General features: G+C 51.0%; 1 protein-coding gene across 8 annotated transcripts in view, besides 5 other annotated features; it reads left to right on the forward strand.

Moving 5' to 3' along the window:
- The window catches only part of HRH2 (histamine receptor H2), a 52,686-nt gene that overhangs the window by 9,890 nt on the left and 18,297 nt on the right, over window positions 1-24,499 (forward strand). For 4 of the 8 annotated variants that reach the window (NM_001393461.1, NM_001393460.1, XM_011534549.4 and 1 more), the window contains one exon: window positions 14,749-16,349. The exons of 1 other annotated variant lie outside the window; for it this stretch is intronic. In NM_001393461.1, the coding sequence (NP_001380390.1) occupies window positions 15,274-16,349 (1,076 nt within the window). In that variant the 5' untranslated portion in view covers window positions 14,749-15,273. 3 more of the 8 variants (NR_160284.1, NM_001131055.2, XM_006714865.4) reach the window with 3 other exon arrangements.
- Window positions 18,597-19,317: an enhancer, noted in NCBI's record as "H3K27ac-H3K4me1 hESC enhancer chr5:175113560-175114280 (GRCh37/hg19 assembly coordinates)". NCBI's record gives its function as "activates a minimal SCP1, AML or CMV promoter by ChIP-STARR-seq in naive H9 embryonic stem cells {active_cell/tissue: H9 hESC(naive)}" and the evidence as "EXISTENCE:reporter gene assay evidence [ECO:0000049][PMID:30033119]".
- Window positions 19,318-20,037: an enhancer, noted in NCBI's record as "H3K27ac-H3K4me1 hESC enhancer chr5:175114281-175115000 (GRCh37/hg19 assembly coordinates)". NCBI's record gives its function as "activates a minimal SCP1, AML or CMV promoter by ChIP-STARR-seq in primed H9 embryonic stem cells {active_cell/tissue: H9 hESC(primed)}" and the evidence as "EXISTENCE:reporter gene assay evidence [ECO:0000049][PMID:30033119]".
- Window positions 20,038-20,757: an enhancer, noted in NCBI's record as "H3K4me1 hESC enhancer chr5:175115001-175115720 (GRCh37/hg19 assembly coordinates)". NCBI's record gives its function as "activates a minimal SCP1, AML or CMV promoter by ChIP-STARR-seq in primed H9 embryonic stem cells {active_cell/tissue: H9 hESC(primed)}" and the evidence as "EXISTENCE:reporter gene assay evidence [ECO:0000049][PMID:30033119]".
- Window positions 20,758-21,477: an enhancer, noted in NCBI's record as "H3K4me1 hESC enhancer chr5:175115721-175116440 (GRCh37/hg19 assembly coordinates)". NCBI's record gives its function as "activates a minimal SCP1, AML or CMV promoter by ChIP-STARR-seq in naive H9 embryonic stem cells {active_cell/tissue: H9 hESC(naive)}" and the evidence as "EXISTENCE:reporter gene assay evidence [ECO:0000049][PMID:30033119]".
- Window positions 22,704-23,205: an enhancer, noted in NCBI's record as "H3K4me1 hESC enhancer chr5:175117667-175118168 (GRCh37/hg19 assembly coordinates)". NCBI's record gives its function as "activates a minimal SCP1, AML or CMV promoter by ChIP-STARR-seq in naive H9 embryonic stem cells {active_cell/tissue: H9 hESC(naive)}" and the evidence as "EXISTENCE:reporter gene assay evidence [ECO:0000049][PMID:30033119]".

A 24,499-nucleotide genomic window follows, 5' to 3' on the forward strand; every position in this document is an offset into this window, starting at 1 on the left:
GCACAATGCTGAAAATAGGCTGGAAAAAGGGGATGTGGGGTTCATCATTCTCTCCTCTCTACTGCTGTGTCTCTTTGAAACCTCAAAAACAAATGCATTTAACAAAGCAGGGGCCAGGTGCTGAAAAGCCATGGTTTGGTGCTCCAGGGCTGGGACTGTGTGGGGATGAGGTTCTGGAAGGGGAAGGACCAGGGCAGGGCACAGGCACCTGGGGAGCTGGAGGAAGGCAGGTGCCAGTGTGGGCCAAGCACTGTGGTGTGGGCTTGTGCATCACACATGTGCGCTATTTATGCTCACGGTGTGTGAACAAAGTAGTGAGTGCTGGGGCTTGGCACACATTTACCCACTGACTCCGCACAGCAGTCAGACAGCGGGGGACTGCAGGGATTTCCTTCCTCCAGTTGAGAATTCTGAGGCAGAGACCCCCCCAGCTGTTGCTCGCAGGGTGGGGGTGCAGGGGAATATTACTCAGGAAGTTGGCTCTAGAAGGGTCTTGATCTTGACCCCATACACGTGTCAACTCCATTGTGAGGCTGGGTTATTAGCCCCATTTTACAAGTAAGGGAAATTGAGGCTCAAAGCAAAGTCATCTGGCCAAAATTGACTAACTGGTAGCAGCAGAGCTGAACTAGAACTCACTGCAGCTGCTGTGAAGGATGCCTTTCTTCATCAGGTCCTGGAGACTGAGATGAGAGTCGCGGTGAGGGGCCGGCTAGGAGGAAGGGCCCAGGCTGGTCAGTGAGGAGGAGTCCAGCCATTCTGCAGGCTGTCCAGGAACAATCGCGTGCTCCCAGAAGCAGAGCGAGGGTGACAGGCACTCAAAGACTCTTAGGGAAGGGCAGCAAGGTCATGGCAGAGTTGTCCAAATCCAGAAAGAGGGTGGGAGAAGCAGGGGAGAGGGGAGCTCCCCAGCATGGAAGGGATGTTGAGGGCAGGACTCACTCAGTGCAGAATCACGGAACAAAGTGTGACAATGTCCACAAAGAATCAATCGTGCAGTTCCTCAGGAGGTCCCTGCTTTGGTTTTTGTTTTGTTTTGTGAGATGGGGTCTCCTCCAGCTCAGGCTGGAGTGCAGTGGCACAGTCATGACTGAGTGTAGCCTCCACCTCCTGGGCCCAAGCGATCCTCCTGCCTCGGCCTTCCAAAGTGCTGGGATTACAGGCCTGAGCCACAGCACCTGGCCCCTGCTTTGTTAAATGCATTTGTTTTTGAGGTTCCAAAGAGACACAGAGAGGAGAGAATGATGAACCCCACATCCCCTTTTCCCAGCCTCACTATTTTCAGCATTTTGCCAATCGTCTTTCATCCCTGCCACCGTATAATATTTTTTGTTCGTTCATGTGAATATTTTAAAGAAAATCCAAGGCATCCTGGAACTGTGCTTGTAAGAATTTCTTTCTTTCTTTTTTTTTTTTTTTTTGAGACAGAGCCTCACTCTGTCGCCCAGGCTGGAGTGCAGTGGTGCAATCTCGGCTCACTGCAACCTCCGCCTGCCAGGTTCAAGTGATTCTCCTGCCTCAGCCTCCTGAGTAGCTGGCATTACAGGCACACACCAGCACACCCGGCTAGTTCTTGTATTTTTAGTAGAGATGGGGTTTCACTATGTTGGCCAGGCTGGTTTCAAACTCCTGACCTCAAGCGATCCACCCACCTCGGCCTCCCGAAGTGCTGGGATTACAGACGTGGGCCACGGTGCCTAGCTTCAGTGTTTGTGTTTATTTCTAACTGACGAGCACATGGCACCCTCCCATTGCTGCAGCTAACAGAATGACAGAAGGAACACAATTCCTTAACATAACCTAACACCCGATTCGCATTCAAGTTTCCCTGATTGCTTCAAGATGCCTTTGTCCCACGATTATGTTCACATCAGGATCCAAGCAAGGTCCCTTTTAATGCTTTCAAAGAGCACTAGAGCTCCACTAAAGGAATCCTGCCTTTACCGTTCATGGACTGAAGAGAACAGGAAGACTGGACACTTCTGTGACTTGATGCTGCTTTTCCAAGGAGCCCAAATTTTACTAACCCAGGAGCAGCCCCCTCGGGGTGACAAACTCTGATGCTTCTGAGGCCAGGCAGGGGGCATCACTGCTCGGTGTCACTCCCTGGTGGGCCTGTGTCTGGTCAGGCTTCTAGCACCAGGCTCCAATCCAAAGGGGACAGGTGGGAACGAGGGCCAGGGCTGTTTTTCAAGAGTAATTGGAGCCAGGCCTGTAATCCCAGCTACTCAGGGAGCCAAAGCAGAAGGATCTCTTGAGCCCAGCAGTCCAAGACCAGCCTGGGCAACATAGTGAGACCCTGCCTCAAAGAAAATTTTTTTTTTAAAGTAACTGGAAATCTAGACTTTTTACATGAAATCTCCTGATTGTTAAATGTTGCTTCTTAAAAAAAATTGATAAACATTGTTTGAACCCAACAGCACTCCTCAGTAGACTGAATTCAGCCTGTGGCCATTGATTCCATCTTTGCTGTCCAAAAATTTTGAAACTAGGGGAGACACATGTTGTTTGAAGGAAATGACCTCCCCATCTTTGGAGGTAATCAAGGAGAGGTAGCCTGGCCATCCATCTGAAATGCTGGACAGGGACTCTTCCACTCACAGTGACCACTAGGCTATTTCCTGTCCTCGGTCCTACTAATAGATGATTCAGAAATCCCACAGCCTCCCCTCGGACCAGCAGTGTGCCTGAGAGCACCGCCACAGCCAGGCTGCAAATGCAACCACCTGCCTGGGGCAGAACCCTCAAGACTCTTGAGCCCACCAGAGACCCTTGGAGAGTCTACATGATTAATCCTAATCCCTACCCTCATTGCTGGCCAAAGACTGGCCACATCAGGATGATGAAAATCCCTTCCAGGCAGACAGCTGCCTGGGCTGGTTCTTGATTTGCTTTGCCAGGCCATATCCAGATTTGGGCCTGTAACAATGCTTAACAAGCCTCATCTGAATGCAGTAGTGGGCACACAGACATGGGCCCTGCCCTGTGGCGCTTATACTCACCCGGCAGGGGCCAACAGAGAAAGAAAGAATGGCGCACATGGGGTTAATAACAAGGTATGCTAAGTGCCATGTTGGAAGTACAGGATGCCAAGAATGTATAACCAGACGTCTAATGTCTGTTGAGAGTGCTGCGTGGGGATGGGGCAGTGCTTTGGGGAACTGGAGGACAGTTCTGTGCACAGAAGCCTCTGAGTGAGGAAAAGAGAAGTTGGGAACTCATATTAGAAAGTTCCCAGGAGCCAGGTGGATTGCCCAAGGGTTTGTGGGGCACCGCATGGGCTTGGTTTTTCTCAGAAGAGCAGAGGTTGCATAAGATAATCAACGGGTATAAATGTTCCTGGCAAGTGTTATCTGTTTGCTGCTGATATCTTTAAGGTGACCCAGCTGGTTGCAGGACTTCTGCCTGTAAGAGAAAGTTGTACCTTGGCAGAAGGGCAAAACCTCCAAGGAATGAGGCTGGGGGAGAGAATAGAGAGGGAGGAAGAGACAGTGTTGTCAGTGGCAGTGCTGGTATCCAGTTCATGTGGCCACAGCTGCTACTGATGGTGGAGGTGATGGTGATGATGGTGGTCACAGCCAGCCTAGAAAAAGGAATTTGGACTTCTTCTCTGAACCTCAGAGCTTTTCAGAGACACACAAAAAACTTTGCAAACACACATACATACATACAAAGTGCCAGGTATAAAATACAAAAAGAAACCCACAAAATTGCAAGTATTAAATGTTCAATTGAACATCCGCAAATGTAACATTATGCCAGCTGGTCAAAGTCAGCTGCCTAAGTCAAATAGCCATATACAAATTATATTTTCTTTGGAAAGTGCATAAATTGCAATGTATTTATTATGCAGTGAGGTATGACCTCCAAAAGAAAGAGGGTGTAGAGCTCTGTAAATGTCCTTAAATGGCTGTGACTCATTGGCAAACACTTTGTAAGATAGTAAGCCCCGCATCGATGGAGGTGGGCAAGGAGAGCCGGGATGACTGCCTCTCTGGGGTGCTACAGAAGGGGTTCCTGAACATGAGGAGCACTGTGTTTTGTTTCCACCCAGAGCTCTCCTATTTTACTATGGAGGGCTCATGATTCCTTCCCTTCACCCCTCCACACACACACACAGTTGCTGGAAGAGACCTTTGAAATATTCTAAGCCCATCTCCACAATTTTCTGCTGAGGAAACTGAGGATATGAAACTTGCTTGAGGTAACACAGCAAGTCAGATTCACACCAGAGACACAAACTCAGGATCCGGATTCCCAGCCCAGTGTTCTTCCCACCCCAGCTCCTGCCCCTGAGCAGTTTTGCCCCTGGGTGGCAGGGATGTGGGCTTCTCTGAAAACATTGGCGATCCACATCTCACCTCCCCAAGAACCAAGGCAGACTCTTCAGCCATCCCATCTCACCCCTGCCCTGAAAACTCCCTCCCCAGGCCTCTGCCACGCTCGCCAGCCCACTGCGGATGGAGGACTTTGGCCAAGTCACAAAACATCATAAACCTTAATTTTCTTATCTATAAGATAGAGATGAATAGTGGTACCCACATAATAGGGTTGTTGAAGAGATTAAATGGGATAATGTACGTAAAATATTTCAAAGATTACCTGACACTTTCAAAGTACCCAATAAATGGGATATGATATTGTTACGATGGTTATTTTCAAGTGCGTTTAGCCAACTGAGTGTTAACAGATCCCCCATTATGTGCCTGTTGGGGAGCAAGGTGGAGTGGATCCTGGACCCTGGATCCTGACCCTCGCCAAGCTCTCATTCCAGTGGGGAGACACAAATAGTGAACCAATAGAGAAACACACGAAATGCTAGGAGGGCCATGTGGGGTGGGGGATGTTAAAGAGGGTGAATTGAGCTGCCTTGGAGGGGTCCAGGAGGCCCCTCGGCAGAGCTGATGTGTGTACTGAGACGGGAATGTCCAGGTCATCAGCAGGTCACAGACCAAGCTCTGGGGAGGAGCAGGTGTGTAGTATCCGAGGAATAAGAGCAAGGTTAGGGGGGCCAGTGTGCACCCACTGAGGCCTCGGGTGGTAAAAGAGGAGATGGAGCAGGTTGCAGGGGATGCCGATCATAAGGGGCCTTCTGAGCCAGTGGTAAGAGCGTGTAACAGGACAAAACTGGTGAGGTAGAAGCAGGCAGGTGCTAGTGATTCAAGCGCCAGCAGCAGGGAGGCTGGTCAGGACCTGTCTCAAAACTTCAGGCAAGAGAGGGTGATGGCTCGAACTAGGACTAGGACGGGGGCAGCTGCAAAGGAGAGTAGATGTGTGTGTGTGCGTGTGTGTATGCATGTGCGCGTTTCACAGGCAGACAGGGTTTGCTGATGGGTTGGATGTCAGAGATGAAGGAAAGATGGGAATCAAGAAGAATGCCTAAGTGTTTAGCCTGAGCAACCAGGTGTTTGGAGGCTGGGGAGGAGCAGGTTAGAAAAAAGAATCAGGGGTCCTTTTCTAGCCCCTCACTTCATGATTTATATCCACTTTGTGCCCACAATATGCAGAAAAGACAAGTCTACAGAGACAGAAAGCAGGTCGGCGGCTGCCAGGGGCTAGGGAAAGGGAGGAAGCAGGAGCGACTGACAATGGGAACAAGGACTGCTTCTGGGGTGATGAAAATGTTTTGGAACCAGAGAGAGGTGGTGGTTGCACAACATGGTGAAGGTACTGAATGCTCCCCAACACTGTACACTGTAACACGGTGCATTGTATGTTATGTGAATTTCACCTCAGTTTTTTTTTTTTGTTTTTTTTTTTTTTGACGGAGTCTCGCTGTATCACCCAGGCTGGAGTGCAGTGGCGCAATCTCCGCTCAATGCAACCTCCGCCCCCCTGGGTTTAAGCCATTCTCTTGCCTCAGCGTCCCGAGTAGCTTGGATTACAGATGCCCGCCACCACGCCCTGCTAATTTTTATATTTTTAGTACAGACAGAGTTTTGCCATGTTGGCCAGGCTGGTCTCGAACTCCTGACCTCAGGTGATCCACCCGCCTCTGCCTCCTAAAGTGCTAGGATTACAGACGTGAGCCACCACACCCAGCCACCTCAATTTTCTTTTTCAATGTGAAAGATAAATAAAGCTTTTCCCATACAAACAAAAACTAAGGAATTTTGTCATCAGATGGCAGCTTCAGGTTCCCACATCCGCTGTTGGCAGAGGCCAAGCAAATGGTGTGAGTCTCTCACTGATAAGGAAACATCACACAAGAACTGGTCACACAAATCAGTGCCGAGGCTGGTTTCATGCCTTCTGCGGCAGGGGGGGTCTGGGGATATGGACGTTCAAAGCCCTGCCTGCCTCTTTACTGGCTGTGTGGCCCCAGACAAGTGAGCTTTCCAAACCTCAGTTTCACCATCTATCAAATGGGAACATGACAATCTCGCTATGCAGATACTATTATTATCATCTGTCAGGTGCCCGGCACGTGGTAGGTGCTCGGGAAATGGAAGTGGCCAGGGTCCTTGCTTCAAGTCCAGGTCCCCCTCTCCCTCACTATGATGCCTAGGGGATGACACTCATCATCATAAAGTGTCCACTCTGACCCCACCATCTAGCGCTGAGCTGGAGGACACACGTCTCGGGGGTAGTGAGACTCTTCCCAGTCTGTGCCAACAACACCAGTTACAGAACCTGCCCCCAATTCCAAATTCCAGACAACATTCAGATCCATTCACTTTTCAGCCTGTGCAGAGGGGTCCCGCTGGGGGCTGCAGAGCTTGGGACAAGACATGCTTGAAGACAGAAGCAAGAACAAGTCATGCCTTTGCACCCCTCCTGACTGAGAAGAAATAAAGGGGCAGGACTCAAGCTCCTGGGAAGCTGGGGGCTTTCTCTCCAAGGAACAGCCACAGCCAGAAGTCTTTTCCTGCCTATGGGCTTTGACCAAATGTCCTGCCAGGAAGGAGTTAGACACCTGCAACCACAAAGATGCAAGATGTTTGTATGTTATCACAAGGGCGGAAGTGTCTTGTGCTGTTGATACAACTGCAATCATGCCATCTCTTTTAAAAGCCCAAAGTCCTTTCTCCACCTGCAAAGCCAAATATGTGGAGGCCGAGAACAGGGACTCTGGAGGCTGACAGACCTCGGTTCAAATCCTGACTTTGCCACTTACTGTTTTTGAAACTTTGGACAATTTCCTTAATTTTGCTAAGCCTCAGCGTCTGTGTTTGTAAAATGGGGAAAAGAAAAATCTCTTGCCTCACATTGTTGTGGTAAAGATTAAATGAGATAATGGCAGGCCTGTCATGAAGTAAGCATTCTTTATATGCCAATTTGTAGTAGTATCATTCTCATGGGTTGAAATCAAGAGATATGGGGTCCCATATCTGCTACCAGTTCCCTGGGTGATCTTACGGCTGATGATTGAACCTTCAATGACTCCTTATTATCTTCAGAACTAAGTCCAAACTCCCAAGCACTCCATCCCCAGCTACATTTTCCTGTTGAGAACTAGCTGAAGAGGTTGGCGGGGGCCAATCACACAGGGCATAGCAGGCATTGCCATTTTTATCCTAACAACAGGAGGGGAATTGGAAGGCCGTGGCATGCTCAAAGACCAGGACAGTTGGACTGCAAAACCTGTGCAATGATTGAGAGGAGAGGATGGGCCCTGAGGGCTATGAGCTTGGAGGTAGAGGACTTTTTATAAAGGGGCATCTGGACTGAGTGGACCAAGCATCAACCCTCACCCAACCCTAGCCTGGAGCCCATCTCAGCCATATGGCCCTGTCTCACTCCTAAGCATGAGCTAGTCCTCCAGCTTCCATTCCTTTGTGTGTTGTTCCCTCTGCTCAGCATACCCTTCTCCTTCCATTCTCCACCTGTCAAACTCTACATCTATTAGGTTTTGAGTAGGTGATACATACACAAGGTGGAAAGATTGAAAAGGTCCCAAGAGACACATGGTGAAAAAGAAGCCTTTCTCCCATCCTGTCCCAGCTCCCATTTCCTCCCTGGAGGCAGCCATCCCTACCCTCTCACTGCCGCCCTCCTGAGCCACTCCTTGACCAGTGTTAACATGTGTAGATGCGTGGGTACGCACACGTGTGTTCTCCCTTGTGCATATCACACTCAGCATCGGCACACTTTTGGAGGCCCCCCCATCAGCCCAGACAATCTAAGTCTTTTGGACGGCTTCACCACGTTCTGTCACGTGCACGTTTACACTTCCCAGACTTTGCCTACACAAGCAGTGCTTTGGGGAATCACAGGACAGACTCCTAGAAGTGCAACTGCTGGGTCAGTAGTCTGAGTGATTTTAACATTAACGGGGTTTTCCAGACCCAAGAAAATGCTTCCTTCCACAAATAGGTATGTGTGTGCCGGAGTACACACTCTGGTATGCGCACATCCACGCCCGCACGTGCACACACACAGAGCTGTTGCTTGCTACCGCCCTCAGAGCCAAAGCTCCAGTGTCCCAGTTCCCACACCTGTGTGGCCTCCACCCACAGCTCTTATTAGCCATCTCTTCCTGTGTCTGAACTTCTAGAGGATTGGGACCACCACACCCTGTTCCTGTGTATCCCCAGCCCCTGCCCCAGGGCTCGTCTCCGGCTCCTGGGCAAAGGCAAGAAGGAGCCCAAACTCCTAGCACATAATGGGCCGTCAGCAGTTTTTTCCAGGTTTTTTAAAATTTGTATAAATTTATAGAGTACAAGTGCAATTATGTAACGTACATAGATTGCATAGTGGTCAAGGCTTATCATATCTATCACCCAAATAATGTATATCGTACTTATTAAGTAATTTCTTATCACCCACCTCCTCACCCTTCAGAGTCTCCATTGCCTGGCATTCTGTGTGCTAAGTCCATGTGTACACATTTTTTACCATCCACTGCTGAGTGAGAACGTGCAATATTTGACTCCAGTTGCACTGGAGGATATTATTTTAACTAAAACAAGGCAGACACAGAAAGTCAAATATTGCAAAAGACAAGATTTCATTCTTTTTTATGGCTGAATGGTATTCCATTTTGTGTGTGTCTGTATACCACTGTTTCTGTTTCTTTTTTCCTTTTCTTTTCTTTCTCTCTTTCTTTTTTGAGGCAGGTTCTCACTCAGTTGCCCAGGCTGGAGTGCAGTGGCATGATCTCAGTTCACTGCAGCCTTGAACCCCTGGGCTCAAGCGATCTTCCCACCTCGGCCTCCCGAGTAGCCTGCCCTACAGGCGTGCACAACTATGCCCAGCTAATTTTTAAACTTTTTGTAGATATAGGGTCTCACTACGTTGCCCAGGCTGGTCTCAAATTCCTGGCCAATTCTCCCACCTCAGCCTCCCAAAATGCTGGGACTGCAGGTGTGAATCACTGCGCCCTGTTACTTTTTCTTTATGCAGTCATTCACTGATGGACATGTAGGTTGATTCCATATCTTAGCTACTGTGAATAGTGCTGTGAAAAACATGAGCTCAGGTATCTTTTCGATGTATCGGTCAGCATTTCTTAAATGAAGCTGTTCTGCCATGTTAAGTGGGAAGAAAGGGCTCCCTGGGAAGGCCAGGGATCATTTCAGCTCTGACTGTCTGGGCTGAAGCCACGTTGGTCCGCAGCTCGTATCGGGGCAGCCACTCTGGGCTTGGAGAGGCTTGTCTTCCTTGCAACACTAAAATAACTCCCTGCTTCCTTGCAACCCCAAAATAACCCCTCCCAGCCCATTTTGGGCTGCTCCTTGGGTGCTGATGCTGGGGCCACTTCCTGATACCCTCAGGAGGCACCTGGAACATTTGAAGTGGTCGATGACAGGGGAAAAGTTCTGAGAACGAATAGCTCATGAGAATGAGGAACTGGGCGGTGCCGGGCAGCCACCTGCTCCGGCCCACCCCCAGCTGCCACACCCTCGAATCCTGATCTGCAGCAGGAGGTCAGGGACCCTGCGCCACTTTTCCCGCCTTCCAATCACATCACCCTCTGCTCGAACTTCCCCTCCACCTGCCGGAGGCGTCTCAGGGTTCTTGGGCTACAACCCACCATCTTTCTCCTCCAAACGTTCACCGTGGCTGTTCTCTCTGGAATCAGCTGGTCCCATGTTCACCCAGTTACCTTGTTCCCATCTGTACCGATCTCAACTCGAATATCGCTTCCTTGGGGAAGCCTTTCGTACCTACACCGTGATACATTCTGGCGGTGCTATTTCCCTTTATATAACTCTTAGCACGGCTGCCATAAATAAGCAGCTCCACAGTAGGTCCCGGATGTTGTCTCCTCCCACCCCTGTGATGGGGGCTCCAGATGTGTCTGCTGTGCCCACTGCTGTAGCCCAGTCCCCAGCACAGTGTCTTCACCCGGAAGCTGCTCGGTATGTGTCATGCACATGAATGCTATTTGCTGACCATGCAGCTTTAGCCAATGACAAAAGTGTTATTGGTAAGAACCTACCACGTGCCGGGCACTAAGGCTTTTCCGTCCCTTTACTGCCTTCATTTCACAGCCGTCTAGTGAAAGAGAAGGTAGTAGCATCACCATTTTACACATGAGAAAACTGAGGCTCAGAGAGTTGGAAGTCACGTGCCCAAGGTCACAAAGCTATTTCAGCAACAGCGCTGGAATTAGAACCCAGATCTGTCCAATGTCCAAGTCCTTGCTTTCAGCCCGGCGGCTCCCCTTGACTCCTCACAGTGTCCGTTCTGTAGAGTAAGGATCAAACCACCTACTTCACAGGGTTGCCGTGACGCTCGCCCAGAAGGGGCGTCGGGCACAGCGGTCGCTGCGTGGATGCAGGATTTTCTTTTCCTGTTGTACATTATTGCCTGGAAAATCAGATTTATCTTTCAGGCCGAGTGAGAAGCCCAATCAAGCCTTAACTGATTCCCCCAAATTGTTGGCCGCTTGTGTGCAATTGCCAGGCTCCCACAGGGCTGTGTCTGGGGTTTAAGTACTTAAACAGCAAAAGGTGTCTCACTTCCCGCTGAAGAGGGAAAAGAAAGTATTGGACTTGATTTCATAAACGTGGAGGGGGAGCACATCCCAGTCACCAGCTTGGTTGCTTTTCTAGATGGTCTCGCCCCTCTGGTTTTCTAACTGCATGCATACCAGTGGCATTTCTTCTGGGGTTTCATGAGTTGGGGGCAGTGAGAGGGAGGCTGTGGCATCAGGCAGACCTGGGGCTGTCTGCCAAGTTCTACCTCTTTCTGTGGAAATCTTCACCCTCCAAGCCCTCATCTTCTTCACCACCAGATGGAAGGATAGAAGAGAAAAGTGGTATTTTGTGTCTCACCACAATTCAGTTCCCGGGGAGACACATTCTCATGGTGAATCACCAAGGACTCCACTGAGAAGAGAGTGCTCCCAGGGCCTTGAAAACTCAAAACTCTGCCCAATGGGATTAAAAAAACACCCCCTTTCTGTCCACCTCAGAAAGCACAAGCCTCTGCCTGAGGTGAGTACAAGGGAGGTAGAAGTGAGAGAGGATGGAGAACCTACCTCTGGAAGACTTCCTGGAGGAGGTGACAGAGGAGGCCAGGGTTTGAAAAAAGAGTAAGAGCTCTCTAGGTAAGGAAAGACCTTCCAGGCAGTGAAAACAGCATGTGCAAAGGCACAGAATCAGAATGGGCCTGGCACTTTTCAGAATTAAATGCCGCAGAGCCAGATCAACACTCCAAGGCAGCAGGTGCTGTACAATCTAACTCGGTACAAAGTGCAGAGAGATTACTCCTGCTTTTAGGCATCTAGGAGGACTCAAGGAGACAGTTACCTGAGCTGGCCTTGAAAGGAGAGTGGTTGAAGTGAATACAAGAAAGAGTGACACACCAGGCATAGGGGATGCAAAGGCAGAGGAAGGAGGGAGAAGGTGTGCTGCATCTGGGGACATGCTCGGTTGCCTGAGTGTCTGTGAAATTAACAGGCAGATGCTGGAGTGCTGGATGAGACCCTGTTGGAAAGACAGGTTGAAGTCTGATCAAAGAACGGGTATTAAGTACAGGCCAAAGGAGTTTGAGCTGAATTTGAATCCAGGTTCTGCCACTTTCTAGGGGTGTGACATCACCTGGCCTCTTTGAGCCTCAGTCTCCTCAACCGTTAAATGGAGACATGATTTTCCTCACTCGTGGGGTCGTGAGGATTCAGTGATATTTTGTTTACTATGCATGGTATCGCTTTGCCCAGGAGGATCCAGCAGGACAGTTGTGCCGTGGTTCATTAAACCTTCTTCCCCCTGCAGTTGGCAGCTTAGGTTGTTTTCCATTCTTGCCATTGCACGTCTGCCAACGGACATCCTTGTGCACATATCCTCATGAGAGCAGGTGCATTGCCACGGGCTGGGCTCCCGAAAGAATGGCTTCGATCTAAGTGACCTAGAGGGCCATCCAGTACATATTGGGAATTTTACAAGAAGTGAAGGAGAGGCAGTTGCTGAGTAGCATGTATGCTGTGTGCGGGCAGTGCCCAGTGTGTGCCCATTGTGCATGCAGAGGCATGAGAAACCCAGGAGGCCCCCACATACCAAACAGTCAGCAGCAGTCACTTCCTGGTGGAGGGGCTCAGGTGTGTGGTGGCTCTGATTTTTGGCCCTTTCTGTACACCTCAGGGATATTTGGCTTACTGGAATAAGCCTGTCATCACTTTGGAAGTTTGAAAGGACAGTTTGAGAGACTATTTTTTGTTAGCTATGATGGTGACAATGACGGTGACAAGGGTGACATGATTCTTCCTCACAGGCAAAGAGAACCCATTGAAGGTTGCTCCATAAGGGGATGACGTGGCCCTCTAGGGCAATCCTTCTGCCCACATGGGACAGGAGAGGATGGGAGGGAGAGAGAGCGCCGTACAAAATCCCCTGCCCTCGAAAAAGGTGACCAGAACTTACGGGAGCTGGGCTTTAAATAGGAATACAGCAGAAGTGGTGCTTCTTTGAAAACTCTACGAAGAAAGGACTCACAGCTGTTTTGGTCATCATTGTCCCCCCAGCACCTGGAGTAGCATCTGACACATTGTGGGTTTTCAAAGAAATATGTGTTGAAAAGGACTGAGGAAGGGAAGGAGGGGCGGGAGAGGAGAGAAGGAAAGGATTTTCTAATTATAAGAGAGGCTGGTCCACTCAGATTTGAAGACCCCTCATCCAAACATGAACTCAAATGTCAGCCTGATGCCAAAATACCTATACCCGGCTGTTGTGGTAACTCAGAAAAACTTTGATGAGAAATAGGGATTCTCCAAAAAAATACCCTTATTGCTACCCCCTCCAAAGTTAATTAAGTGTGGCGGTGAGACCCATGCTGTTTGGGCTATTTATGTAATGAAAAGCTCTGCTAAAAATAGTACCCGGAGGTTCAGCTGCCAGGACTGGTGGCTGAGCCAGGGAGCGTGGCAGAAGGTGATCGGGAACCCTGATCCCTGCACGAACACAATCGTTGTGATTAAATGATGCTTCTCATATTCAGGTTGCAAACCGCTCCAGGCAAGAGCCTGGGAGAGGCTTAATTTATGTTTTATGGAGATTAGCTTGCTTCTGAGAGGGGGTTCCGCCATCAACTCGATTTCTGCACACACTCAGAGCTCAGGAGATTGCCTGCTCTCTGAAAAACCAGGAGGAGCTGGTAGGGAAGGACTGGGGCGTGGAACAGGGCCTCAGCTTGTTTCTCGCCAGTTGGAATCATATACAGCCACCACTGGGAGGGAGCCTTGGAGATTACCTAGTGACCAGGGGCTCTTATTTAATCAAGAGGCATTGCACATGCAGTTACTTTATTGACGTAGTGTTTGCACTACTTCAATAGTGCAAAGGGAGGAAGGGAGGAAGGAGAAACCACCCTAATGCCCGTGAGAGGGTGATGTGGGGATGATAGGATAAACCTATTCATGGTGAGCCTCCCCACAGACTGTTATGCAACCATTAGAAGGAATGAGTGAGTTCTGTCCCTGCTGACCTGGATGTGGGATCACGTGTTCTGCCAAGTAAGACCAGTAAGATTTAGAGATGCGTTCGGAGCAGGGGTGGCGTGGATGACAGGTGACGAACTGCCGATTAAATCTGGCCCTCTGCCTGGCTTTGTACAGCCCGTGGCTAAGAATGGTTTTTACATTTTTAAATTTTGGAAAAAAATCAAAAAAAGGAGATTTTTATGACACGTGAAAATGATATGAAATTTACATTTCAGTGTTCATTACTGAAGTTTTGTTGGAGTGCAGCCACGCTCTTCTGTCGGCACGTCATCTGCATAGCTGCATTCGCACTGCAAAGGCAGAGCCGAGCCGTCACAGGCTGTGAGGCAGAACGTGTTTATTACCTGACCCTTTTCTGAAAAAGTTTGTCGGCCACCGCCTTAGAGTATGATGACATTTTGCCAAACAGCAGCACCAGATATGGTTCTCAGCACTTCAGAGGAGTAGATTCATTACATTTGTTTATTCGTTCATTCATTTTATCCTTTATTCGTCAGATGCTTACTGTCTATCTGTGGGGCCAGGCACCAGGAACCAGCAGAGAACAAACAGATGCAGGCCTTCTTCTTGTGGAGCTGAAAGTCTGTGTCTAGATCCTTCTTTTCTCAGTACAAGCACTTCCAGCCTTTCCAACTCTTTCTCACGAGTCTCAGTGTCCAGCCCCTTGCATCCTGCCTCCCTTCTGCCTCCCCAGTATGTATCCTGATTGCCCAAGTCCCTCCCAAAAAGAGGTATCCAAACTGGTCCCATACTTCCTGGGGTCTTGCCAAGAGGTTGAGATCTAGTAGAAGGACACATCTTGAATTGGGTCATGCTTTCTATCTGGTTTCAAGGTGCTTAACATCCAACCTTTGCCTTTTCAGCTCCTGCCCTCCACTGACTCCAGAGAGGGAGATCCCCAGTACTTGACTCCATCACGCAGATGGGAGCAGGCACCAGCTATGGAGAGGGATACAGCTGCGTCTCCACATGACCCATCCTGCATGACACCAAAGCCACCGCCAGACAGTGCCTCGGATTCTATGCAAAACCTGGGAAGCGGAGACCTACCCCAGCCCCGGGAGGAAGCTAGCTCTTCAGGGGACCGTCTGAGGACTGGAGTTTGATCCATGAACCTGGCTTCGAGGCCTTGCTTTTCTCTCTTCTTCATTCATATTCATTCCCAACACCTTAGAAGGTGTTGCTTAATTTATTTCTAGAAAAGCAGCCCAGAGTCAGTCATTGAAGCCTTCCCCACCCCCTGGCCAAAAAAAAAAAAAAAAAAAAACTGGACACATTTTGGATCTGTTGGGAGCTTGGAGTCCAGTGGTTGGCATAGTTGTCACATTGGGAGCAGAGAAGAAGCAACCAGGGGCCCTGATCAGGGGACTGAGCCGTAGAGTCCCAGGATGGCACCCAATGGCACAGCCTCTTCCTTTTGCCTGGACTCTACCGCATGCAAGATCACCATCACCGTGGTCCTTGCGGTCCTCATCCTCATCACCGTTGCTGGCAATGTGGTCGTCTGTCTGGCCGTGGGCTTGAACCGCCGGCTCCGCAACCTGACCAATTGTTTCATCGTGTCCTTGGCTATCACTGACCTGCTCCTCGGCCTCCTGGTGCTGCCCTTCTCTGCCATCTACCAGCTGTCCTGCAAGTGGAGCTTTGGCAAGGTCTTCTGCAATATCTACACCAGCCTGGATGTGATGCTCTGCACAGCCTCCATTCTTAACCTCTTCATGATCAGCCTCGACCGGTACTGCGCTGTCATGGACCCACTGCGGTACCCTGTGCTGGTCACCCCAGTTCGGGTCGCCATCTCTCTGGTCTTAATTTGGGTCATCTCCATTACCCTGTCCTTTCTGTCTATCCACCTGGGGTGGAACAGCAGGAACGAGACCAGCAAGGGCAATCATACCACCTCTAAGTGCAAAGTCCAGGTCAATGAAGTGTACGGGCTGGTGGATGGGCTGGTCACCTTCTACCTCCCGCTACTGATCATGTGCATCACCTACTACCGCATCTTCAAGGTCGCCCGGGATCAGGCCAAGAGGATCAATCACATTAGCTCCTGGAAGGCAGCCACCATCAGGGAGCACAAAGCCACAGTGACACTGGCCGCCGTCATGGGGGCCTTCATCATCTGCTGGTTTCCCTACTTCACCGCGTTTGTGTACCGTGGGCTGAGAGGGGATGATGCCATCAATGAGGTGTTAGAAGCCATCGTTCTGTGGCTGGGCTATGCCAACTCAGCCCTGAACCCCATCCTGTATGCTGCGCTGAACAGAGACTTCCGCACCGGGTACCAACAGCTCTTCTGCTGCAGGCTGGCCAACCGCAACTCCCACAAAACTTCTCTGAGGTCCAACGCCTCTCAGCTGTCCAGGACCCAAAGCCGAGAACCCAGGCAACAGGAAGAGAAACCCCTGAAGCTCCAGGTGTGGAGTGGGACAGAAGTCACGGCCCCCCAGGGAGCCACAGACAGGTAATAGCCCTAGCCATTGGTGCACAGGATGGGGGCAATGGGAGGGGATGCTACTGATGGGAATGATTAAGGGAGCTGCTGTTTAGGTGGTGCTGGTTTATGTTCTAGGAACTCTTCATGAGCACTTTGTAAACACCCTCTTGCTTAATCCTCCCAACGGCCCCCAAAGGTAGAACTTAGCTCCCTTTTAAAAGGAGCACATTAAAATTCTCAGAGGACTTGGCAAGGGCCGCACAGCTGGGGCCTGAAGAGCGGTCACCTGACTTCGGAACTCGCAAGCCCTTTTTCCCAGCTACGTGGTCCTTACAATTAGAAGTCTTATGTTTGAAGCCTGACTGCCACTGAGGAGTCGTAAGTGTTCAACCAACCCCTCCAGGATAGCACTCAAGTAACCATGTCACCAATGCTGCCACTTGACGGGCCTGTTGTGGGGTTAAATGAGAAACTCAGCTCAGTTCAGCATTTATTGAGCACCTGCTATGCATCAGCTCTTACCGTGGGGGGGGTGTAAGTTGGTGGGGAAAGAGGCCAGTGGAGTCAGAAAGGTGGGGCCTTGAAGGCGGCTGAGTTTGGGCATGATACTGTAGATTTTAGGAAAGGTGAAAGAGTTAGAAGCAAGGGAAAGGGTAACTTAAGCAGATCTATGCCTTGGAAAGAGGGCTCTGGGTACCCCTAAGATGTGGACCAGAGGATGAGACTGTAGACGAGGGGGTTGTGGCACTGACTCATGAGAGAGGAAAGAGAGGAAAGCAAAATCAAGGAGGCCATAGATCTTAAAAGCTTGCAGACTCTGGGATGTTCAGAGTGCGGGAGATGCAAGGGAGGACAACAGGATTTCCCCTCCCAGAGGGCACCAGGCGGAAAAGATGTATAGAATCAGAATGAGATTTGGATAAATTCACTGGTGACAAAGCCAATGCAGGATCTTAAGGGAAACCACACCAAAGACCTGAGTGGCACCGAGGAAGCTCGCTGTGAGGAGAGACAGCTTACTGGTCTGGGCTTTAGCTGCTGAAAAGAGCAAATGAAAGAATGCTCAGAGGATACCTGGCACATAGAAGTTGCTCAATAAATGTTGCTTTCCTTTCTCTTCCCACAGACCATGGCTTTGCCTTCCAGAATGCTGGTCTGTGGAACTGACCCATTCATTCATTCATTTGTTCATTCATTCATTTGCAAACATTCATCCAATTCCCACCACATGCCAGGAATTATGATGAATACTGGGGATGTAGAAATGAGATTTTTTGGGTTTATGGTGATGAAGTTACAGAAAATCAATGGCACAGCCCTGGTCTCAGCTCTGCCGTCACTCAACTTGTATCTTGAGCAAGTTCCTCCCCATCTCAGGCCTCAGTTTCCTCATCGCATAGAGAGTTGGTCTTCCCTCACCGGGCTTCCTACTTGCCCTCCAGAGTTGCCTGAAGCTCACATGAGCGAAGGGACATGAACATGCTCTGCCATCTCCCAATAGGACATAAGTCCACGCTGGAGCGCTGAGCATCAGACTCAAGAAAAGCTTGCGTGGATATTGCAGACCCACCAACAAGGGCTCCAGGTTCTGGAGTTGTGGAGGCAAAACTGCCTAGTGAGAACCCTACATATTCCCTCTGGTCCTTGCAGCTGCCACCCCCATTCCCAGGGGTGGAGTGTCCCTCCATAGACTTGGATCCTGGGCCCTCTGCTCCTTCACCACTGTCCATCTGAAGCAAGCCTGGTTGCTCCGGCACTGAACTGTGGCCTCGGGCCCTGGACCCTGCCCCTCAAATCCACCCTCCAAGTGCACACCTGGAAACTTCCGCTTCCAGTCCTGATGGGTAAAACGCCCACCTACCATATCCTTGCGCAATCTCTTATTCAGGAGGCAGCTGGAGTGCAAAGCTGACTTAGTTCACAAAGTATAAAAAAATACAGGGATGTGGTTCAGCTAGAAGGTGGTTGCCACTCTTGGGTTTAGTCTTGTATATCACTTTGTGCTGCCGTTACTTGTTTGAGCCCTGGGTTAATAAGCCGCCTTTTCAGTTGAGTCCTTAAGGGAACTTATTCATTCAATAAGCACTTAACAACAATAGCTAACATTCATTGAGCATCCACTACTGGCCCGTTTCAGATGTCTGACATTGTTTCTAGGCATTAGTTGCTCTTCAGGGGCATCCTACTCCCACCCCTGCACCAAGTGCTAAGGGCACAAAGTGAGATAGAGCATCTTCCACCCTGTGCCACCCTCGGCCACCTGCAATTGCTCATGGTCTAGTTAAGAAGCTGACTGGTCAGATTCAGAGCCACACATGCCAAGGATTGAAGCCCAGATGGGGCTGGCGCATGGGCCCGGGAGCCCATCCCGGAGAGGAGACCTCTGAGCTTTTAAATGCAAACGAGAAAGACCCTTTCATCCAAGGCAGGGCTGGACCCTTGAGACTCAGGGCCTCACTTCATCCTCCACACAACCCTGTGAAGCAGGGACTTGCTTAATCTCCACTTTATAGGTGGGAAAACTGAGGCACACAGAAGTCAAGTAAACTGCCCCAAGGGATACAACCCAAAGTTGCGATCTGAGCAACAACAGAAATAGCAGCGCCTGCCGCAGACTGTCCTCCAGGCTCCCGGCATGCTGCAGGGTATGAGTGTCCATCTCCTGCTCTGATCCTCGTGGGCACCCTGGGTGGGAGGCTGTGAAGAAACCAGGGCCAGCAGAGAGGTGGTGCCTCCCAGGGTCATGCATGCAGCCGTGGAGGCAGGGCCAGATCCGAGTCCAGAGCCCATGCTCCTGGAGATCACGGCTATGGTCTGTCCTCCAGCCCCCAGGAGCAGGGGCAGAGGGCTTTGGCAGAGAAGGGTGGGGGAGCCAGTCAGAGGGCCCCACACTGTGGTTGAGGGCATGGAGGGCGGAGGGAGCCAAGAACAGCCAGAGGTTGATATTCCCACCAAGACTGCCAGGGCGATCAGGGCCTCGTGTGTCCCTCGATAAGCTCGGCTGCCAGTTTCCCTGCTGGCTGATAGCATGTCCTCCAGCTCTCCGTCTGGGGACAAACCCGCACTGACCCAGAGCCGTTATCACTGCCAAGATTGGGCTGTCTGCCTGAGCCAAGAATTCCGAAGGGAACGGAGCCAGCCTGCCCTGGGTGGGGTGGGGGCACCGTCGGCCAAGGGGTGACTCCAGAAGATAGAGTGGCCAAGCTGGCTGGTCCTCCCTTCCCTGTGGCCAACCAGCAGCCACCCCACAATGTTCCTGCCCAGCCTCTATGAGTGCTCTTTGCAGCACACTCAGGGCAGCTCACCCCACAGTCAGGGGCCCCGGCTGGTCCCACCATTCGAGAACCTGCTGGCTGCCTTATGGGCAGACACCATCCGCCCCTTCCTGACCCCTACTGTCCACCCCTCATCACCTCTCCCCTGCCTCCTCTCAGATACCCCTGCTCCCAGCCGCTCCCTGTCTGCTCCATCACTCACAGTGAGCTCCCTAAATTATGAATCTCAGTGTAGTGCCCCTGCTCAGGACCCTCCTCTGCCTCCCACGGCCGCCTGCACATAGGTAGCCCTGTGTCCATTTCCTGTGGCTGCCATAACACATCCCCACCAGCCTAGTGGCCAAACACAACACACGTTATTCCGTTGCAGTTCAGGAGGCCAGATGTCTGAGATCAAGGTGTTAGCAGGGCTGGTTCCTTCTGAAGGCTTCCAGAGAGCCTCCCTTTCCTTTACCTTTCCCCACTTGTAGGCAGCCTGCATGCCTTGGCTCAGGGCCCCTCTCACATCACTCCAGCCTTTTGCTTCCAAGGTCACGTCACCTTCTGCTCTGCTGTAGTCAGCTCTCTCCCTCTACCTCCTTGTTAGAAAGACACTCGCAATTGCACGGAGGCCCGCCTGGGTAACCCATGCTACTCTCGAGCCTCAGCTCAAATTCCATAATGTCATCGAAACTGCAAAGTCCCTTTTGCCGCGTAAGGTAACGTTCTCAAGGGATTAGGATGTGGACACATTTGGGGGCCATTATTCAGCCTCCCACAAGTCCCAACCCTCTGGCCCGTCCTGATTTGGTCCCTGCCCCCTGTCCTGCTGCCTTTCCTGCCACCTCCCCAGGCCCAGCCACCATCCTCTGCCCCAGCCAGAATAAACCACCCAGAGCTCAGTGAGAAGCATTTACCAAGGACTTGCCACCTGCCAGCACTGTTTGCAGTAGAGCAGTGAGAAAGGCTGAGGCCCTCTTCTCATAGGAATGTTACTCTACAGCAGGCGTTGTCACGGCGTGGCCCCCGCCAGCAGGGGACTCCCAGAAACAGAGGAGCTGGCCTGGGCCGCCAGCCTTAATGAGTGGCAGAGCTAGGATTTGAGCCCGAGTCTCTCTGATCCCAAAGCCTAGACTCTAGGACGAAATGCTGTCTGGATTTGAACTTGGTCCTGTTTTTGACTATCACCCCAGTGCTAGCCCTACAGATACCAGATAGGGAAAATGAGGCACAGGGAGGCAAGTGACCCGTCTGAGGTGTGAAGCAAGCTCAGGAGAGGCTGGGAGGAGAACCCTGTGTTTCTGGACCCCTGCCGAGGTCTCTTTGAGCCCTTTCCCCACCCATTCTCTTGTTCATGGTAATCTCCCAAGGCAGGAGATAATATTCATTAGCACCTGGGCTATCCCAGTCTCCGGGCGTGGCCCTTCCTCATGCCTGCACAGTCCCTGGGCCTTTGCCTGTGGCTTCAATACTCCTGATGCCTGGAGGGCTCCAGTCACAGCTGGTGCCTCCCCACTCCTTCCAGCTCTTCTTCTGTCCCTCAATCAGCCCAGCATCCCAACTGGCCCCTGACTAGCTCTCTGAATTTGCTCTCCTTCCGTCTGAGAGGTTTTCAGGCATAAATTGGATTATACTCCACTTCTCCTATTGCTTAGAGTAAAACACCAAATTCTTATCCCTGTCTCCAAGGCCCTGCCCTGCCACGACCTCCTCTCCTGCCCCTCTGGCCCCCCTCAGCCCACATGGTGTCTAACCCCATGCAGGCTCCCCTCAGCCCAGGCCCCCTTCTTCCCCCTCTTGACTTACTTATCCTATTGGTTTAACGTCTGCTCCCCCTAGATCATAAGCTCCATAGGACAGGTCCCTGTCTGTGTTGTTCACTACTGGACCCTAACACGTGGCACTGTGCCTGGCACAGAACAGGCCCAGGAATATTGCTGATTGAATAAATGAATGAGTGGATGTCTTGTTATAGGCCCCCAGGAACCCTGAGAAGTGAACCCACCCCCACTGTAGAGATTAGGAAACCACATCTGTAAGAGGGAAGTTCCAGAAACCTCGTAAGAACTCAGAGATTCCTGCTTCCCCTTTTTAGCTTGGATGTCACAATAAGTCTCCCTCCAAATACTGGCATCAGAGGCAGGCTTCCTGGCAGAATCCAGTACCAGCTCTGAATCATAGAACCTCGGGGTGGGAACAGACTAACCCCTCTCCAACTCCAGCACAGATGCGGGAAGGTGGTGCAACTTCTGCCCAATAGCACAGACAGCAAGCTTCTGAGTCAGGATGGGAATCCGGAGTTCCCAACAACCTGGACTGCATCCACAGCATCACCACGGCGTGTCCTGGTTTGGCCAGAAGTCAGGGGCACAGCTTGAGGAGCAAGGCTGACTTTGTCTTTTGCTCCAAATCCAATCTCAGAAGATGAGGCTGCAACCATGTGTCTGATACACACGCTTCTGAAGAAGAGCTGTTGCCCAGAAGATCAGTTTCCTTAAGGGTCAGAATGTGTTCACCCCTTCAAGAGCCCCAGCTTGTTAACTTATACATCCAGCTTAGTGAAATGCTCCCTTTAGCACATGGTTTCAGCGTTCCTGCCCGGCCTCTATGAGTGCACTTTGCATTACACCCAGGGCAGCTCACCCCACAGTCAGGGGCCCCAGCTGGCCCCGCCACTCGGGAACCTGCTGGCTGCCTTGTGAAGCTGCTGCCCCATCTCACAGCTGCTGGGGGTGCTCTCCTGGGGTGTTGGAGGGTGGGTCTGCCTAGTATGAGCCATGGCCACACCATTTACAGGTTTGATAACCTCAGGCAAGTCACTCTCCAGTCTGAGCTGCAGCTTCCTTACTGTAAAATGCTGATAATCATCAGGCTTCCACGGAAAATCAGAAAAGGTGTAAGGGGCGCAGACATTTAGCATCATTCCTGGCATGTGACAGGTACTTCAGCAAACGAGAATTTTCATTCCTCACCATCTATCTCTTTTTCTTGTTCCTGTCTGTCTGCCTGCCTGCCTGCCTGCCTTTTTCTTTCTTTCCATTTTATTATAACAGTTTTATCAAGCTACATTTGACATATTATAGGATTCACCCGTTTAAAGTGGACAGTTGGGTGGTTTCTAGTATATTCATGGAGTTGTGCATCCACAATCACAATCCGTTTTAGAGCATTTCATCGCCCCCCAAAAGAAACCCTGCACCTCTGAGCTGACCCCCACACTCCCTGCGTTCTATTCCCTGCACCTTCACACCGAGGTGGCCACGCATCTGCTTTCGGCCTCTCTGGATCTGCCTGTGTGACATTTCATGGAACAGGTGCTCTTCTGTGCCTGGCTCCCCTCACTTAGCATAACATTGCCACGGTGCTATCTTTATTTTCCGTCTTTTCTTCCTTCGTCCCTTTCTTCCATCCTTTTTGCTGTGATTTTTCCCTCCCGTCTGTTTCTCTTTCCTTCCCTTTCTTCCATCCAAGGGCCCATTTTTCCTTCCCCACGTGTTTGGGCTTTAGGGCAGCCCATGGCCTCTGCAGGCCCTGGGTGGAGAGCTTGAGGCTGCATCGTGGGCCGCCGGAGCCCAAATCCCTGCCCGCCCAGCTTCTCAGGGCCTGCACTTCTGCACAGCGGCCACGCGGCCACGCGGAGCAACGGCGCAAGCTCACAGTTAATCCTCTTCCTCTTTGTCTCTTCAGAGAGTTTGGGGAGTGAGAGCCCCTCCCACTCCTGGAGAGGAAGTCAGGGGAAGGAGAGCAGAGAGGAGGTGGGAAGCCCTTTACAGCCTCAAAAGTCAAGGAGAATAAATCGTGGCCCCCCAGGAGTCATTGAAAGGTAGAGAACCTTCCTGCATGGGTCTGGGGATGGTGACTGGAAGCCACTGGAGGCTCTGGCTTCTACCTGTGAACCCCTCCTTCCTCTCCCCTGCCCTGCCCTTGCCCTGATCTACACCTCCTGACTCCCTCTGAGCAAGTCTGAAGGCGCTGCCTTCCCAGGGACCGTGATGGGGCGGGAAGGGGCACCATGACTTTGGGGCCACTGCTAGTACATTTGTACCCTTAAGAAGGAGCACAGCGGCTGGGCGTGGTGGCTCATGCCTGTAATACCGGCGCTTTGGGAGGCTGAAGCAGGTGGACCACCTAAGGTCAGGAGTTTGAGACCACCCTGGCCAACATGGTGAAACCCCATCTCTACTAAAAATACAAAAATTAGCTGGGCGTGGTGGCATGTGCCTGTAATTCCAGCTGCTCAGGAGGCTGAGGCAGGAGAATCACTTGAACCTGGGAGGCGGAGGTTGCAGTGCACTCCAGCCTAGGTGACAGAGCAAGACTCCATCTCAAAAAAAAAAAGAAAAAAGAGAAAAAAAAAAGGAGCACAGAAAGGTGAACAAGTGAGGAAAAGGCCCTTCCTCCAGGGGACCCGGCCCCAGGGTGCACAGCCTGGCAAGCAGATGGAGGGCTGATTGCAGGCCCTTGACCCCTTCACCTGATGCTTTTGTGCAGAAAACGGCCTACACAACCGTATGGGGGCTGCATACTTTTGAGACCCTTCAGGAGACAGCCCGGCAAAAGGCAGGAGTTAGAAAGCTTTTCCTGCAAAGGGCCAGATAGTAAATATTTTAGGCTGTGCAGCCCATTCAATCCCTGTTGCAGTGCTGCAACTCTGCCCTTGTAGGGTGAAAGCAGCCACAGCCCGTACATAAATGGATGGAGATGGCTGTGTTCTCATAAAACTGTATATTTATGAACACAAAAATTTGAGCGGCATATCATTTTCACAGGGTCACGAAATGTTATTCTATTATTTTTCAACCATTTCAACAAAAACAGATGGTGGGCTCAATTTGCCTATGGGCTATCATTTGCCAACCCTGGCGTGGGGGAAGAAATGTGTGCCATTTCCAGCCCCTGGCTCTGTGACCTTGGGCAGGTGGC

The sequence above is a fragment of the Homo sapiens genome, chromosome 5 (genome assembly GCF_000001405.40).
Source record: "Homo sapiens chromosome 5, GRCh38.p14 Primary Assembly".
Lineage (NCBI taxonomy): Eukaryota > Metazoa > Chordata > Mammalia > Primates > Hominidae > Homo > Homo sapiens.